The sequence below is a fragment of the Homo sapiens genome, chromosome 11 (assembly GCF_000001405.40).
Source record: "Homo sapiens chromosome 11, GRCh38.p14 Primary Assembly".
Classification (NCBI taxonomy): Eukaryota; Metazoa; Chordata; class Mammalia; order Primates; family Hominidae; genus Homo; species Homo sapiens.
Genome location: NC_000011.10, coordinates 125,626,648 through 125,643,209, shown reverse-complemented (window position 1 = coordinate 125,643,209; position 16,562 = coordinate 125,626,648). Strand labels below are relative to the sequence as shown.

Sequence of the window (16,562 nt, the reverse complement as noted above, 5' to 3'; positions counted from 1 at the left end):
CTGCGCCCGGCCCAGGCCACAGTCTTAATGGCATCTTTTATGGGTAACAGAACAATGTTCTATGAAGACAACAGACCTGGCTAAAGGACTAGAACTTTTTAAAATAAAAAATAATTTATGATAATAGCAATAAACATTATGAATCTGCTATAGCCAACATTCTTTGATTCCTTGGAAAAGCTTTATAAAGAAGAATATTATATGGAAAATGACGCCACTGTAAATTTATGGTTACAATCCCTAGCTAAACCTCAATATTGCCAGATAATATTTGTTTCTCTAGTTTCCTTTCCTTTTCTCCACAAGGATCATTTCAAAACTACACTTTTCTGTAATTCCCAAGACTACCATCCAGTACCTATACTACCACCTCCCATTTCAGAGAAAAAATAAAGCCATTAGACAGAAACTACATCAACTTATCCCTACCAAAGCTAAGTTATTTGTATTATTATACATCTTTTCATCCCTTCCATTCTCCCATCAAATGTTCATCTCTCTACTTGTGCTCTGGAGCCCATACCCTTCTACCTCCTTAGGGATCTTGATCCTCTGTTATTTATTTCCTTTCTCTTAGACTGTCAGCCTCTTCCTCTCTACAGGATCCGTACCCAAACCACTTAAACATGCTTAAGTTTGTTTCTTTTTAAACATGCTCAAGTTTTTTTTTAAACCTGCTTTTTATTTATTAATCCATTCATTCAGATATTTTATTAGGTCTACTCTGTGCCAGGCATTATTCTAGGTATCAGGTATTCAGCAGTGAGCAAAATAGAAAAAAAACTCTTGACCTTTTAAATCCTACATTCTACTGAGGAGAGACAAAATAACATAAAATAAATACAAATACAGTTAAAAATCAGTAAGCTAAATGGTGGTAAGTACACTGAAGGAAAATAAAATGAAGAAACGTGTTGGATTGCGTATGTCCACAAGAGAGTAAAAATTTTAAAAATTTAAGAAATGTGTTAGAGGGAAGAGGATACCATTTTAAATAGCATGGCCAGGAAAGGCTTATTGGAAAGATGACACTGAAGTCAATATCCAAAGAAAGTAAGAGAATAAGACATGCAAATAAGTCCCATGGGAAAAAGCATTTTCAGACATAGGAACAGTCACTACAAAAACAGTGAGGTAGAAGTGTGCCTAGAGCACTTGGAGAACAATAAGAAGAACAACAATATGACCAAGGGGGAGCAAAGCAGAACTGAGGTTGGAGAGGTAATGTAAGGAACAAAATTGTGTAAGAACTCACAGGTCATGAACTGATTTTAGCTTACACTACACGTGAGAACTAAAGCATTGGAGGATTTGGGTAGAATAGTGATATATTCTAATTCACTTTTAAATCAGAACATTTTGGAAAGATATCATGGTAATTTGGAATGATAGGGTAACAGTAGAGGTAAAAAAAAAAAAGGTAATCAGATTCTAAGATTTTTTTAAAGATAGAGGTTAACAGAATTAGCTGGTGTACTGGATGTGAAGTAAAAGAGAATGAGAAAAATGAAGGATGATTCCAAAGTTTCTGATCTGCATAATAAGAATAATGCAGTTGCCATTAACCAACATGGGAAAGACTTTGAAAAGGAATGGGTTTGAAAGGAAAAGATCAGTAACTCAGTTTGGAATTCATCAAGTGTGAGATGCCTCTTAACATTCAAGTGAAATTTCAGAAGGCAGTTAAGACATGTAAGTTTGGAATTCAGAGGAAAGGTCTAGGTTGATATAAATGTGACTATCAACATATAGTTTTATTTAGAGCCATGAAACCAAGTAATATCACTAATGGAGTGAGTGTGGAGAAGAAAACAAAGGAGATCCATAGATTCAGCCCTGGAGAACTCCAATAGTAGGAGGCTGAGCAGATGAAAAAAAACCATCAAGAGACTGAAAAGAGCGACCAGTGAGAAGGACGAAAATCAGAAGAGTGTAACGCCTGGAAGCCAAATGAAGAAAGTGTTTAAAGGAGGAGGGCATGATCAACTGTATAAAATATTGATGAGATAAAACAAGAGGTCTGAGAACTGACTACAGTAGTACCCCCCTTATCCACAGAGGGATATGTTCAAGTGGATGCCTGAAAGTACAAATGGTACCAAACCCTATATATGTTCTTTCGATCTAATAACCAAAACAGCTACTAAGGGAGTTACAAGCAGGTAGCACATGGAACGTGAATACACTGGAAAAAGGAGTGATTCACATCCCAAGTGAGATGAAGTAGGACAGCACAAGATTTTATTATGCTACTCAGAACAGCACACAATTTAAAACCTATGGCAGGGCATTGTGGCTCATGCCTATAATCCCAGTACTTTGGGAGGCCGGGGTGGGTGGATTGCTTAAGCCCAGCAGTTTGAGAACAGCTGGGATTACAGGCGTGAACCACCACACCTGGCTAATTTTTGTATTTTTGGTAGAAAAGCATAGGCAACATGGCGAAACCTCATCTCTACCAAAAATACAAAAATTAGCCGGGCATAGTGGCTCACACCTGTAGTCCCAGCTACTCGGGAAGCTGAGATGGGAGGATCATTTAAGCTCAGGAGGTAGAGGTTTCAGTAAGTGGAGACCACGCCACTGCACTCCAGTCTGGGCGACAGAGCGAGATCCCGTCTCGAATTAAATAAATAAATAAAACCCATGAATTTCTTTTTTTTTTTTTTTGAGACGGAGTCTCGCTGTTGCCCAGGCTGGAGTGCAGTGGTGCGATCTCGGCTCACTGCAAGCTCCGCCCCCCGGGGTTCACGCCATTCTCTTGCCTCAGCCTCCCGAGTAGCTGGGACTACAGGCGACCGCCACCTCGCCCGGCTAATTTTTTGTATTTTTAGTAGAGACGGGGTGACACCGTGTTAGCCAGGATGGTCTCGATCTCCTGACCTCGTGATCCGCCCGCCTTGGCCTCCCAAAGTGCTGGGATTACAGGCGTGAGCCACCGCGCCCGGCCAAAACCCATGAATTGATGAATTGTTTACTTCTGGTACTTTCCATTTAATCTTTTCAGACCTCGGTTGACCACAGTGGACTATTACATTGAACTTGGCAACACGTTCCAAAAATCACTGTGACTCTTGGCAACAAAATAGATGAAATTGAAAACTAGTTTTGAGGTGTTAGAGATGAGAAGCAATTTTAGGAATATTCAATTGTGAAGAAGATGGAATGGTAGGGAAAAGTGGAGTTAAGAGAAATTTTATTACCATTATGATTTGATTTTAAAATGGGAGAAAAAGCATGTAGATATGCTGATGAGAAAGATCCGGTAGAGAAGGAAAAATTAATAATGTAGGAGAGGGAGAAAAATTGCTAGACAAAGTCATTGAGTGGGTAAGAGAAAGACCTGGCTTACATCCAGAGCAATTTATCTACAGCAATACAGGATGAAAGAGAATACATGAGCATAGAGGCAGTTAGTATGGAGGAGATGGTGGTGGGAGCTTGCCTAAGTTCTCTTGTGGCTTTCATTTCCCAGTGACACAGGAAGCAAAGTGAACAACTGAGAGTGAGGATGGAGAGAAGATAATAAAAGTTAAGGGACCAGACACAGTAGCTCACACCTATAAACCCAGCACTTTGGGAGGCTGAGGCAGGGGGATCACTTGAGGCTAGGAGTTTGAGACCAGCCTGGCCAGCATGGCAAAACCTCTACTAAAAATATAAAAATTAGCCAGGTGTGGTGGTTCACACCTGTAATCCCAGCTACTCGGGTGGCTAAGGCACGAGAATCGAATCGCTTGAACCTGAGAGGCAGAGGTTGAAGTGAGTGGAGATGGCGCCACTGCACTCCAGCCTAGACCCTGTCTCAAAAAAAAAAAAAAAAAAAAGAGAAAAGTATTATAAAAACGTGATTTAGGAGAACAGGACAGAGAAAGATGTGGGGAAACGAAGGCCAAATGCCAGGAAGCATTAAGGGCCCACTTGAGATTAGTAATCCTGAATTTAAAGTGAACATTTTTGGGTATTTTTCTCCTGCTGCAATCTGTTGTGCAGGTACAAGTGTGCAGTACGTAGAAAACTACTAGATTAAACCCAGAAACTACTTACTGGGTTTTACCCACTAAGTATGATGAAGAGAGAAGGGGACAAGGAAATTGAAGATGATGAACGCAAAGCAGTCATTTATAATGACTAACCTAAAGATTTAAGATAGGTAAAGATGAAATCAAGGACCTAGAGAGGGAGCAGGTAAGAGACTGAAGAGATAGAATTAATTAATTGCAAGTCCAGATACAAAGGACTGTTTAAGTTAGAATATTAAGGGAGGAAGTCAGAAAAAATTATACTGGTGATCAGTGCAGCGTGTTCAAAGACAACATCACTATAGGAGAGAGGGTCAAGAAACAGTGAAGTCAGGATATCAGGAGGATGATCCAAATAAATATTTAAATCACCAAGAATCATGACGAAAATAACATCAAGAGTCATTTTGCAGACTGTGATAGTACGGCAGAAATTTTAATTTGGGGTTCAAAAGTTAGAGGGGAGAGACATAAAGGAAGATGGGAGAAAGTGACAATGAAGAATAAGGAGGACACCTGTACCATGTCCAGATCAAAGGACATGAGGGTATGGGAAAGAAAACACCTACCGCTTCAGAGGAAGCAGTGTCCTCAGGGGAGAATTGGACTTTAAGTTAGGACAAGGAGGAAGAAACATGCAGAGAGGTATTAAAGAAGAGTGAATGTTTAAACATTAACTCTTTTCTATCCATGAGGACAGAGTTAAACATTAATAACTCTCTGAATGTTTTTCATTCATCATCTCTAGTCATTGTCCTCTCTCCTTCCATTCACAGCCTAACAGTCCTATCAATACTAGTTCTTAAATTTCTTTGGAATCATCTCATTTCTCCAATACCATTGCCCTAACCTATTCCAAGCCACCAGCCTCCCACTTCTAGACAACTAGCAGAAAAACCTACAGCACCCTGAATCTTTCCCTATTCATAAAAAACAATGGAAAAAAAATAAGGAAGTCAGAGAAATATTTTTAAACCGAAGATATGACTATGTCATAGTCTTGCTTAAAATCTCTCAGAGGTCTCCCCAGTGGTCTTAAGTTAAAGCCCAAAATCCTTAACATGGCTTACAAGGTCTTCTTCCACAAATTGGCCACTAGCGACCTCTCTGGCCTCATCTCAAACCTGTCTTCCTCTCCCACTTCCCTGTTCACTCACTCAACAAATATTTAATGAGTGCCTATGGTGCACCATATACTGTGCTAAAGCACTGATGATACAATGATGAACACAACAGACACGGCTTGTGCCATACTGATCTTTCAAGTTTCTCAAAAGCATCAGACTTTCTAAAATCTAAGATTTTTCAAATACTGCTTCCCCTGTTCAGAATCAAATCTGCCACTTACTTTGCCTGCCTAGCTTCCCTTTAATCTTCAAATCTTAGATTTAATGTAATTTCTTCAGGAAGAAAAGTCTTCCCTGTCCCTTAGACTTGGTCAAACACTTAGCTATAGTACCCTGACTTTCCCCTTTATAATTATTAATAAACAAAATTATTTCTGTATTTTTTTCTACTGGACATTATAATCTCCATGAGGACAGAGATCATAGCTATCATGTGTTGTTGACTTGTGATAATAACTTTGCAATTACCTTTTCTTCCACAGAAAAACAAACAAACTTGTAGTTTAAGGATATTACCTTTCTTGAGGGGTTTGTTGTACCATCTATCTTTTTTGATGTCTGGAATGGTAATTCTTGCTGATGGATTCTCAACTAAGATTTTATGCAGCAGAGCTAAAAACAAACATTACGACAACATTCACGAAAGAATCATGTTAGAGAAGCCTATGGCTTGAGGTAAGAAACACATTTTCTGTTAGCCTACTTATGTCTAAATATTATTCCTGGGGAAGAGAAAGAATTAAAGCTACTAAATTACTGCTTTAATTTCATGCAGTTTTTCTCTGCTGCTGTATCTTGGAGTAGTCTTCCCTGATCTGATTCTCAATTGTTTGCAACTGAGAACAAGAGCCAGATGGAAATGTTTCTCCTCATGTGACGAGATTAACAAAAAGATACAGAAACCCCTCTTATCCATTTTCAATACCGAATTTCATTACTTCAATGTCATGTTCTCACGTGACCTCCTTATTCACACAGTTTTATAATGAACATTTACTTACCAATAACTTTTTAAGAGACAGTAATCTAACTAACCATCCTAAGGTATCTTAATTTTCTTGAGAAAAAATTCACGTATCTTCCTATGTGAAGATTATTTCCTAATGGACCAAAGATTTAAATGGAAAAATGAAGCCATAAAAACACTAAATGAAAACATAGGGAACTTTTAAATAGTAGAGGTAGAAGACCTTTCCAAAGAAATTATAGTCAGGGACCACAAAGGACAAGATAATAGATTTGAATGTCAATATAGCAAAACAAAATGAAAATAAATGATAAATTGTGAAAAGTATTTGTAACAAGTGCAAAGGTCAATGTGTTATCAAGGAAAAAAAAAAGCTTCAAAGTGGTAAGAAAAACAATATCCTTGACAAAAATGAGCAAAATAGACAAAAAACTAATACATACATAAAGGGTATACAACTTCATTAGTATTAAATTTAAAATAAAAATGAAAAACTATTATTTAAAGTTTTTTTCCTTAATGTAAATTGATGAGACTGTGATGAAATGGTTCGAACTTTCGGGAAGCAATTTGACAAAATAAGCCATAATAATAAAAACTACATCCTTGATCCTGCAATTTTGCTTCTGGGGATTTCAATGAACAATTTAAGGGTATGTGTCATGATTAAGTTACACAGATACTTATATCTCTTTTGTATCTGTGAAAATTTAGAAAAATCTCCAACAAAGTGATTAAAAGAGTAAAGTAAGGCATATCCACATGGCAGAATATTATCACAGCCTTTAAACCAACGATGTAGACCTACAATTATAGTCATGGAAGAATGTTCGCTGCGCACTAAAACCAAAAACAGTTACAAAATATTATTAGTGTGATCTCATTTTGTATAAAAACACATATAAATAATATACATATATTCATTTTACATACTTATGGGCCACATTAATGATGTTTCAGTCAGGAATGGACCACACGTATAACAGACAGTCCCATTAGATTATAATACTGTATTTTTACTATACTTTTTCTATACTTAGATACACAAATACCATTATGTTACAATTCCTTACAGTGCTCAGTATAGTAACATGCTGTACAGGTTTGCAGCCTGAGATCAATAGGGTATACCAAATAGCCTAGATTTATAGTAAGCTATACTATCTAGATTTATGTAAATATACTCTATGATGTTCACACAATGATGAAACCACCTAATGAAACATTTGTTAGAGTGCATCCCTATAATTAAGCAACAAACGAGTGTATTTGCAACAAAGTATAGCACATATGAAAACTTTAAGTAAAAAGCCATCTAAGAGCAGATTCAAGTTGCTCTGAATATACACTCCCCAAAATATTTTTAAAAATCTATTGCAGAGTTCTGGGACTAAAGAGTTATTTTTTCCTTAATTTTTTACTTATAGTTACTATTTTATCTACAACGAACATGAATTATTTGTAAGTTTAAAACAAAAAAAAAAGTAAGAAAAAATTCAAATAGCACAAGACTTCATATCCAAGAAATCGGTACTCTTTCACTCAAGATAATTCAGTTACCTAGAGGAGCAGAATCGATTTTTTTCCAAGGGTTGAGGTATGTTTTTTTTTCTTTCCAGTCAGAATACTCCTGACAGCTGTCACTGGGTTGGTCCCATGGCAATTCTAAAAACAAAGCAAGTCCCAGTTTTTTTAAATGTTCTTATTATAAAGATTTCAAGGAAAAATAATAATATAAATCCATGAAAAGTTTCCTTTGAATTAATTCAATATGGTTTTCACACTAAGAATCCCAACTTGGAAACTTTAGAGGCACTTCAAAGATAGATGAATCAGGATAGGCATGGCAGCTCAGGCCTGTAATCACAGCACTTTGGGAGGCTGAGGCAGAAGGACTGCTTGAGCCCAGGAGTTCAAGACCAGCCTGGGCAACATAGTGAGACCCCATCTCTACAAAAAATAAATAAAATTAGCTGGGCGTGATGGTGTGCATCTGTAGTCCTGGCTCCTCAGGAGGCTAAAGTGAGAGGATCACTTGAACCCAAGAGGTCAAGACTGCAGTGAGCCAAGATCACACTGCTGCACTGCAGCCTGGGCGACAGAGCAAGACTTTGTCTCAAAAAAAAAAAAACCAAAAAACAGATGAATCATTTCTTGCCCTAGTCTTGTTTTCACAAATGTTTACATGATACACAGGAGAGATAAGTGTTGTGATATTTAATAACTATGCATGCCTTAGCTTAAAAAATCTTTGGGATTATAAATAAGTTACTATTTGCAATGTGCTAAATATTTGTATCCCCCTCAAAAGTCATGTTGATATCCTAACTCATAATGCAATGGCATTCGGAGGTGGGGCCTTTGAGACGTAATTAGGTCCTGGTGATGGGACCACTCAAAAAATGGTATTAGTGCTCTTATTAAGAGCTTATTAATGTCTAATAAGGGCTTGTGTGCCCGGACAATATTGTATCTTTATAGGGCACTAATTATATAATCCCAGCACTTTGGGAGGCTTAGGTAGGCAGATTACTTGAGCCCAGGAGTTTAAGACCAGCCTACGTAACATGGAGAGACCGTCTGTGAAAAAAAACCCACAACAAATTAGCCAGGTGTGGTGGTGCACGCCTGTAGACCCAGATACTGAGGAGACTGAGGCAGGAGGATCGCTTGAGCCTGGGAGCTCAAGGCTGCAGTGAGCCTTGAATTGTGCCACTGCACTCCAGCCTGGGCAATAGAGTGAGACCCTGTCTCAAAAAAAACCACAAAAAAACAAAAAACAGACACAATATCTCACAACATCTGGTCATTTAACAAAAAACCCAAAAAACAGCACTTTGGGAGGCTGAGGTTGGGGGATCACTTGAGGTCAGGAGTTTGAGACCAGTCTGGCCAACATGGTGAAACCCTGTCTCTACTCAAAATACAAAAATTAGCCGGGTGTGATGATGCATGCCTGTAATCCCAGCTACTTGGGAGCCTGGGACAGAATTGCTAGAACCTGGGAGGCAGAGGTTGCAGTGAGCTGAGATCACATCACTGTACTCCAGCGTGGGTGACAGAGCAAGACTCTGGTCTAAAAAAAAAAAAAAAAACCACAATAGAGCTTGCTTCTGCTCTCTTGGCTGTCCACCATGAGAGAGCACAGCAAGACAGCCATCTGCAAATCAGGAAGAGGGCCCTCACTAAAACATGACCAGGTTGGCACCCCTAATCTCATATTTTCAGCCTCCAGAACTGTGAGAAATAAATTTGCTGTTTATAAGCTATGCAGTCTATGATACTTTGTTACAGCAGTTACCAAACCGATCAAGACACTATTAAAATACTACTATAAAAGCTGGGTACCATGGCTCATGTCTTTACTTTAATCCTAACAGTTTGGAGACCAAGACAGAAGGCTTGCTTGAGACCAGGTGTTTAAGACCAGCCTGGACAACACAGCAAGATCCCATCTCTACAATGAATTTTTAAAACTTAGCCAGATGTCTTGTGGCAGGCACCACTGGTCCTAGCTACTTGGAAGAGTGAGGCCAGAGGATTGCTTGAGCCTAGAAGTTTGAGGCTGCAGTGAGCTATAACAGCTCACTGTACTCCAGTCTGGCCAAGAGTGAGACCCTGTCTCTTAAAAAAGAAAACAAAAACTATTATATAAACATGAATTCCTTGGTTTATTTCATTTATTTCAGTATAACTAATCTGACTTTTTATAGGAGTTTTACCATGATTAAATAGCTCTTACCTCCAGCGAGCATTGCAGTAAGTACTATTCCACAGGACCAAACATCAACTGGTTCTGCATGAAATTCTCTTCTCTTCAGAAGTTCTGGAGCAACATATGGTAAAGTACCACACATCTTGTTCAACAAACGCTCACGATTATTATACCGAAATACTGTTGCCAAGCCAAAGTCTGAGATTTTGAGGTTATCTAAACCAAAAGAAAAAAAGATGACACTGAATAAAAATGTTTTGCAAATAGATATACTTACAGGAATTAAGTTTTACTGAAAAAAAATCACTGGTGTTACTTAAGGTTTGTAGAACTTCTCTTAAAATAAGCAAAATAGACAAAAAGAAATTTAAAAAAATAAAATAAATCATCATCTATGCTAAAAGTAGAAAAAGGCCTCACCTCTTCTATTAACTTAAAAGAAGTATTATCAACACACAGAACAGTCTGGACCAGATTAAAGAAAGAGGCTGGAGTCAGAAGGGGCTGCCCTTCTGGAAAAGAGCACTCTAAACCTGAGATGAAAGTAAAGCAAGGCCCCTCATCAGGTAGGGTGGAGGGCAGGAAGGAAACATCAGTAGTATGTTAGGCACAACTTTCTCAGCAGCAAACAAACCCAGTTGGCAGAAGAAAATATGTGAAGACACACCAAAATTCAACAAACCACAGTAATTTTTTTCTTCAAAGTAGAGAGTCTGAGAAAAAGAGGACAAACTCTGTACAAAAAAAAAATATCAGAAGACCCAACTTCCACCCTAACTTCCCATCTTCAACACACAAAAACTGCAGGCAGGACTTAACTTATGTTTAGTGAATATCTACTGTAACTTAGTGACAGACACTATGCCAGCCAATGCAGGTAATAGATAAATTAGTGAAGACTGACAATAGAAAACTGTTATGAAGGTTATAAAAATATAGAGCACTATAGGATCTTAGAGCAAAGGAATGTAACCCAGTCTTAAGAGTTAGAAAAGGCCCTCTATTATCAGAGGGCAATTTGGCAAAACATACTAAACTGTGAAACATTCACTCTTTGAACTAGCAATTCCCACTTCTATATCCATAGAAATAATCCCACAAATTCATAAACATAAGAATATTCATAGCAATATTATTTGTAAATAAATGTCCAAATTTGTACAATGGAAAATGTGGAGGTAGGTTTTGAAAACAATCAACAAGGTATATCTATACATACTAACATGAAATAGTGTGTAAGTGGGACAAAAAGGCTAATGGCATAAAAAATATTATAGCATAAAAAATATTATAGCATGACGCAATTTTTATATTGGCCTTTTACACAAATTGATAGAAGCCATCACTGTCCTATTTTATAAGTTAGAAACAACTTAAATGTCTCAAAATAGGGGACTGATTTCTTTAAAAATCAAGTACATTCACACAATATGTAAACCAATGAAATGTTTACCTCTATCTGACTTAGGAGGTAGCTACTGTGATTACCCTTTTTTTTTTTTTTTTTTTTTTTTTTTGAGAAAGTGTCTCACTCTGCTGCCCAGACTAGAGTGTAGTGATGTGATCACAGCTTACTGCAGCCTTGACCTCCTAGGCTGAAGTGATCAATCCTCCTGCTTCAGCCTTCCAAGTAGCTGGGACTCCAGGTGTGCACCACCATGTCTAGCTAATTTTTTTTTTTAATTTTTCATAAAGACAGGGTCTATGTTGTCTAGGCTGGTCTCAAACTCCTAGAATCACTCAATCGTCCCACCTCAGCCTCTGGGATTACAGGCATGAGCTACTGCACCCAGTTGATTATCTTTTCAGTAGTTAAATATGACACTATTGGACAAACCACTGAGATTGAGTTTCAAATTACTTATGAGTAGTAATCACTTAAAATACTAATGGATAACTATAGTATTCCTTGGACTTTGTTATGTCTGCAACATAATACTCAGCTATGTTAGAGAACTGCACATAATAAAATTTAAATGTAGGAATGTGTTTAGCTCTTAGAAAAACAAAGGAAGAATATATTTGTGATGAAATAAACAGGAGGACATTAAATACTGGTAACATTTTATTTCTTTTTTTAAAAGACTCCTAAATATTAAATAGAAACAAAGAATTATATCTTGTATATTAATACAAGATATAAAGAATAACAATGTAATAAACACCCACTCACTTTAGAAAAACAATGCTCTATTTCCTTTGAAATCTTTAAATACTTCCTTAAATACATTCCCTCCCCTACTTTCTTAGACCATTCTGAATTTGGTTTTATTATACCCTTGCTTTTCTGCATGTTTTTTTCTCCATGTTTACATACTTGAACAATATACTAGGTTTTACATATTTTTGAACTTTGTATAAACAGAATCAGACCATATGAATTCTTTTGCAACTGTCTCTTTTTGCTCTACATCATTATATACCTGAAATTCATCCATGTCACTGCTTGTGACATGCTTGTGTCACTGCTTGTGACATGGCTTGAAAAGCCATGCATTTCATAATTTATTGTTGACAGACATTTGGGTTAGTTTCCTGCTATATTAAAAACATCACCACTGTGAGCATTCTTATATACGAATAATGTTGTATTTTTAAACCAGGTGGGTTGATATACATATATTTACATTTCATTATAATACATAAGAATTTTTGTGTACCTGAATTTTTAAAGTTTTAAATAAAAATAAAGATTTTTATGTCATATAAACTCAGTTTAAAGGGGTAAAAAGTAAAATCCATATGCACATAAGAAAAAAGCATGTATAGGCTGGGTACAGCGGCTCACACCTATAATCCCAGCACTCTGGGAGGCCAAGGGAGGCAGATCACTTGAGGCCAGGAGCTCGAGACCAGCCTGGCCAATATGACAAAACCCCATCTCTACTAAAAATATAAAAATGAGCCAGGTGTGGTGACTCAGGCTTGTAATCCCAGCTACTCAGGGGCCTAAGGCACAAGAATCACCTGAACCAGAGAGGTAGAGGTTACAGTGAGCCGAGATCATGTCACTACACTCCAGCCTGGGCAACACAGCAAGACTCTGTTTCAAAAAAAAAAAAAAGCTGACCATTTGTTAAGCACTATTCTAATACTAAGAATAAAGCATTAAACCAGACAAAAACTACTGCCTCATACAGCTGACATTTCTTTTTTGATTCTGACCCTGTAAGCTTAAAGCTTTCGCTATCCATCCTTCTCAATTTGATGACATTCAGAAAATATAACTAAATTTCTTACATTTTTATCCACGTCATACATAAAAAAAGAGTGAACAGGACAAGACTAAGGTCCAGGGTATTCCACAGGAACTTCCCTTTATTAATCCATTAAAGGATTATTTTAAACTATTCTTGGCCAGGCATGGTGGCTCACGTCTATAATCCCAACACTCTGGGAGGCTAAGGCTGGTAAACTGCTTGAGTCCAGGAGTTCAAGACTAGCCTGAGCAACACAGGAAGACTCCACCTCTTCAAAAAATCAAAAATTAGCCAGGCATGGTGGCACCTGCCTGTGGTTGGTCCTAGCTACTCGGGAAGCTGAGATGGTAGGATTGCTTGAGCCTAGGAGGTCAAGGCTGCAGTGAACTGTGATAATACAGTGCACCCCAGACTGGACAACACAGTGAGCCTGTATCAAAAAAAAAAAAATTATTCTTATACATATAGTGAGCTAGGCTTGCACCTAGGTCAGATTTCTCTACCTGATCCGCACTTGTATTGCAAAATGAGACTTGTGATTTCCAAATATACGAAGTCTCCAAAATTTCCTTGATTTTTCAGATCTTGTCTTGAAATTCCAGTAATGCAAAAAGACTTGATTTTGCCTTGTATGGCTATATTAAAATAATTAGGTAATTAAAATAATTTAGGTAATTATTTTATTTTATTTTAGGTAGTGATAAAATGCTAAACTTACCCCTTTCATCCAACAGAAGATTTTCTGGTTTAATATCCCTGTGAGTTATTCCAATACCATGCAGATAAACCTAAGAGGGATGCAGAGAGAAACACACTAGAATTTGGTAATGTAATGTATTCACTCTAATTTTAAGTAAAAGGGAAATAGACAACTATACCTACCACCCCTGCCATGAGTTGATGGAAGAATCTCTGAGCATCTGGTTCAGGCATGCCTATGTCTGGCTCTAAAACAAATATGAAAGTAAGTTTATTGACTAAATATAATCAGGTAGCAACCACATAGCTTCTTAATTTGAAGCTTAGACATTTACAAATGTGCTTAGGCAAACAGAAGCAAATGCCAACAAAAGATTCAGGAGTCCACTAACACATATGGGGCTTAACTCACATTTACCTGTGTTAGGTGGCAAAAGGCGTCATCACAGAAAAATTATAAAGAGAAAACCAATATCCAAATCAAGAATGCAAGCCATGACTTCAAAGCCTCTGCTTCCTCTTATACTAACCCTGATTTATTTAGTAACCTTGAAATTCCCCCCATTTCTTCTAAATGCTATGCTAATTATTTTTCTCATTCCTGAAATATAATGCCAAAGGGGAAGTCTGGGCAAATCTAAGCCAATTTCACTAAATATTTTACAGATTATACTTCTTTTATAATTTAACTTTTTTTAGAGATACGGTCTTGTTCTTTCACCCAGGCTGGAGTGCCCTGGCGTGAGATCATAACTTACTGTAACCTGGAACTCTTGAGCTCAAGCAATCCTCCTGCCTCCTAAGTAGCTAGGATTGCAGGCATGTACCACCACACCTGGCTCAGATTTAAACTTCATATAGTCTCACAGTACAAAACCACAAATGCCTGTGAGGTCCTTCGTGAAACAGTTTTATTATGAAAGTTCTTTTATCAGTTATCTTTTTATATTTTGATCTCTCTCATTAACTCCATTTCTTTTACCCTCAACTCTCTCCTGAGTCACACTGGAGATCCTAATACCTCTTTATCAGTTTTTAACTGATAAACTTATTTAATACAATAGCTTTAAATTATAAATTTAAATTATAAATTTAGATCCAGATTTTATGTACTTCTCAGTGTTCTGAAATATCAATCCTTTGATTCTACATCGAATATTTAAGTATTAATAGCAAACATAGAATTTACTTAATATACAAAAAGCAATCCTAGAAAATTCTCAATTATTTCATGTAAACCAAGAGGAAACAGCATGCTATTTTAGATCTGTAAATGTATAAAATGTATACAATGATTTCATGTAACTAGAATGTCTACAAAGAAAAAATTGTGTAGGCAATACATTGCATTTAGGATACACTGCATTTATGATGTACCATAAAACTTGTTTGTCACTCTTAAATTCTGTAAGACACCAATCTTAAATCAAAATCACTTATATAACTTGGGAAAGAAGTTTTCTTTCATTGACTCTATATATGCTTTTATGTTATTAACACCAGGTGGAAAAATTTTTTAAAGATAATGTATTCCAATTTCACAGTTGCATGAGCAATTTTGAAAGGACAACGACCAAATAGCATGCCCAAGATTTAAAAAACAAATTTAAAAACTTGTTTAAAATAATTATCTTAAATTTCTTCCATACCTATTCTGTCAAAAAGCTCTCCTCCACTACAGTACTCCAGAAATAAATATTGGATATTGCCTTCTCTCCTGTGACCATAGAATTTTACTACATTTTCATGATTTAGCATTTTATTGATACAGATCTCTTTCTTAATATTTTCTGGACAGTCTACGGCACGCTTCATATCTACAATCTTCACTGCGACTGCTTCTTCAGTTACTCTATTCACAGCAAGTTGAACTCTAAAAAGGAAAAGAGTTTTAACATTACAGAATTCCATTTCTTCTAAAACTTCCAAAGATTAAACATGACTCATCCAAAACGATTTTACCTCTATTACTTTTTCCACAAAGGAGAAACCAAGGAAGTGGTTTCTGCTATGTTCTCAACACACACTACTCTTTTCTAAAATGTGAAATACAATAGCTAACCCTCCAAAGACGTCATTATGCTGTCACACAAGTCATTTAATAAACGCTTCATAAAATAGATTGAGATAATTCTAAGCCACATCACATATATACATGTTCTACTCATATACTTTTAAGAGCATTAATCCCATACTATATGTGCTTGTGTAACTGACTGTCCTAAGCTCCTATGGGGTAGATGCGATTATTGCCACCCTAAAGGTAGTGAAGGAGAGGTACACAATGACATTAAGAAGCTTGCCTAAGATCACAAAACAATGACCAGTATGTGATAGAGCAAGGATCTGAAACCAGGCAGGCAATCTCCAGAGTCTGCTCATTTGCTCATTAACCGCAATGCTTAAACCCTGAGAAGCAATTTGTGGGCATGGAAACAATAACTTCGTGTCCCTTCCAGCTCTCTACAAAGAAAACTTTTTTTTTTAAAGGGAAGGAAAAAATTTTTAATCCTAGCAAAAGGCTGTGTAACTTCAGTTGCCAAAACCCTTGGATCTCAAACATCTACTTTCTAAATCACCAGAGTGTGAGACTCCAAAACAATGAATATGCACTCAGAAAACGAAGGCAAGCTTAAAAGAACTCACTCTCCATAGGCACCTTCTCCCAGGGTTTGCACCAAGTCCCAGTCTTCCACAAAGGGCACTGCCATGACTCCACCGAGCACCTCGGCTGTAAAAGGCAGGAATCCAGAAAAGATGTAGAGTGTAAGATCACCAGTGAAGCCACTGAGCCCCGCCTCTCCCCAGGATTGCCCACGAAAATTAACAGCT

At 37.1% G+C, this 16,562-nt stretch overlaps 1 protein-coding gene across 14 annotated transcripts in view, besides 2 other annotated features; it reads right to left on the bottom strand.

The window, feature by feature from the left end:
* The window catches only part of CHEK1 (checkpoint kinase 1), a 55,989-nt gene that overhangs the window by 37,915 nt on the left and 1,512 nt on the right, over positions 1–16,562 (bottom strand). For 7 of the 14 annotated variants that reach the window (NR_045205.1, NM_001114121.2, NM_001244846.1 and 4 more), the window contains exons 2-8: positions 16,377–16,461; positions 15,380–15,603; positions 13,914–13,978; positions 13,750–13,819; positions 9,859–10,047; positions 7,677–7,781; positions 5,666–5,761 (exon numbers count right to left, since the gene is read on the bottom strand). Coding sequence is in view for 11 of the 14 variants with exons in the window: in NM_001114121.2 (NP_001107593.1) it covers positions 5,666–5,761; positions 7,677–7,781; positions 9,859–10,047; positions 13,750–13,819; positions 13,914–13,978; positions 15,380–15,603; positions 16,377–16,441 (814 nt within the window). In the remaining 3 variants the exon portion in view is untranslated. The remainder of the gene's footprint in view (positions 1–5,665; positions 5,762–7,676; positions 7,782–9,858; positions 10,048–13,749; positions 13,820–13,913; positions 13,979–15,379; positions 15,604–16,376; positions 16,462–16,562) is intronic. The other 7 variants (XR_007062447.1, NR_045204.1, XM_011542560.3 and 4 more) reach the window with 1 other exon arrangement.
* Positions 16,012–16,555: an enhancer, noted in NCBI's record as "NANOG-H3K27ac-H3K4me1 hESC enhancer chr11:125496550-125497093 (GRCh37/hg19 assembly coordinates)". NCBI's record gives its function as "activates a minimal SCP1, AML or CMV promoter by ChIP-STARR-seq in naive H9 embryonic stem cells {active_cell/tissue: H9 hESC(naive)}" and the evidence as "EXISTENCE:reporter gene assay evidence [ECO:0000049][PMID:30033119]".
* Positions 16,402–16,451: an enhancer, noted in NCBI's record as "active region_5701". NCBI's record gives its function as "activates an Ori minimal core promoter by ATAC-STARR-seq in GM12878 lymphoblastoid cells {active_cell/tissue: GM12878}" and the evidence as "EXISTENCE:reporter gene assay evidence [ECO:0000049][PMID:35858748]".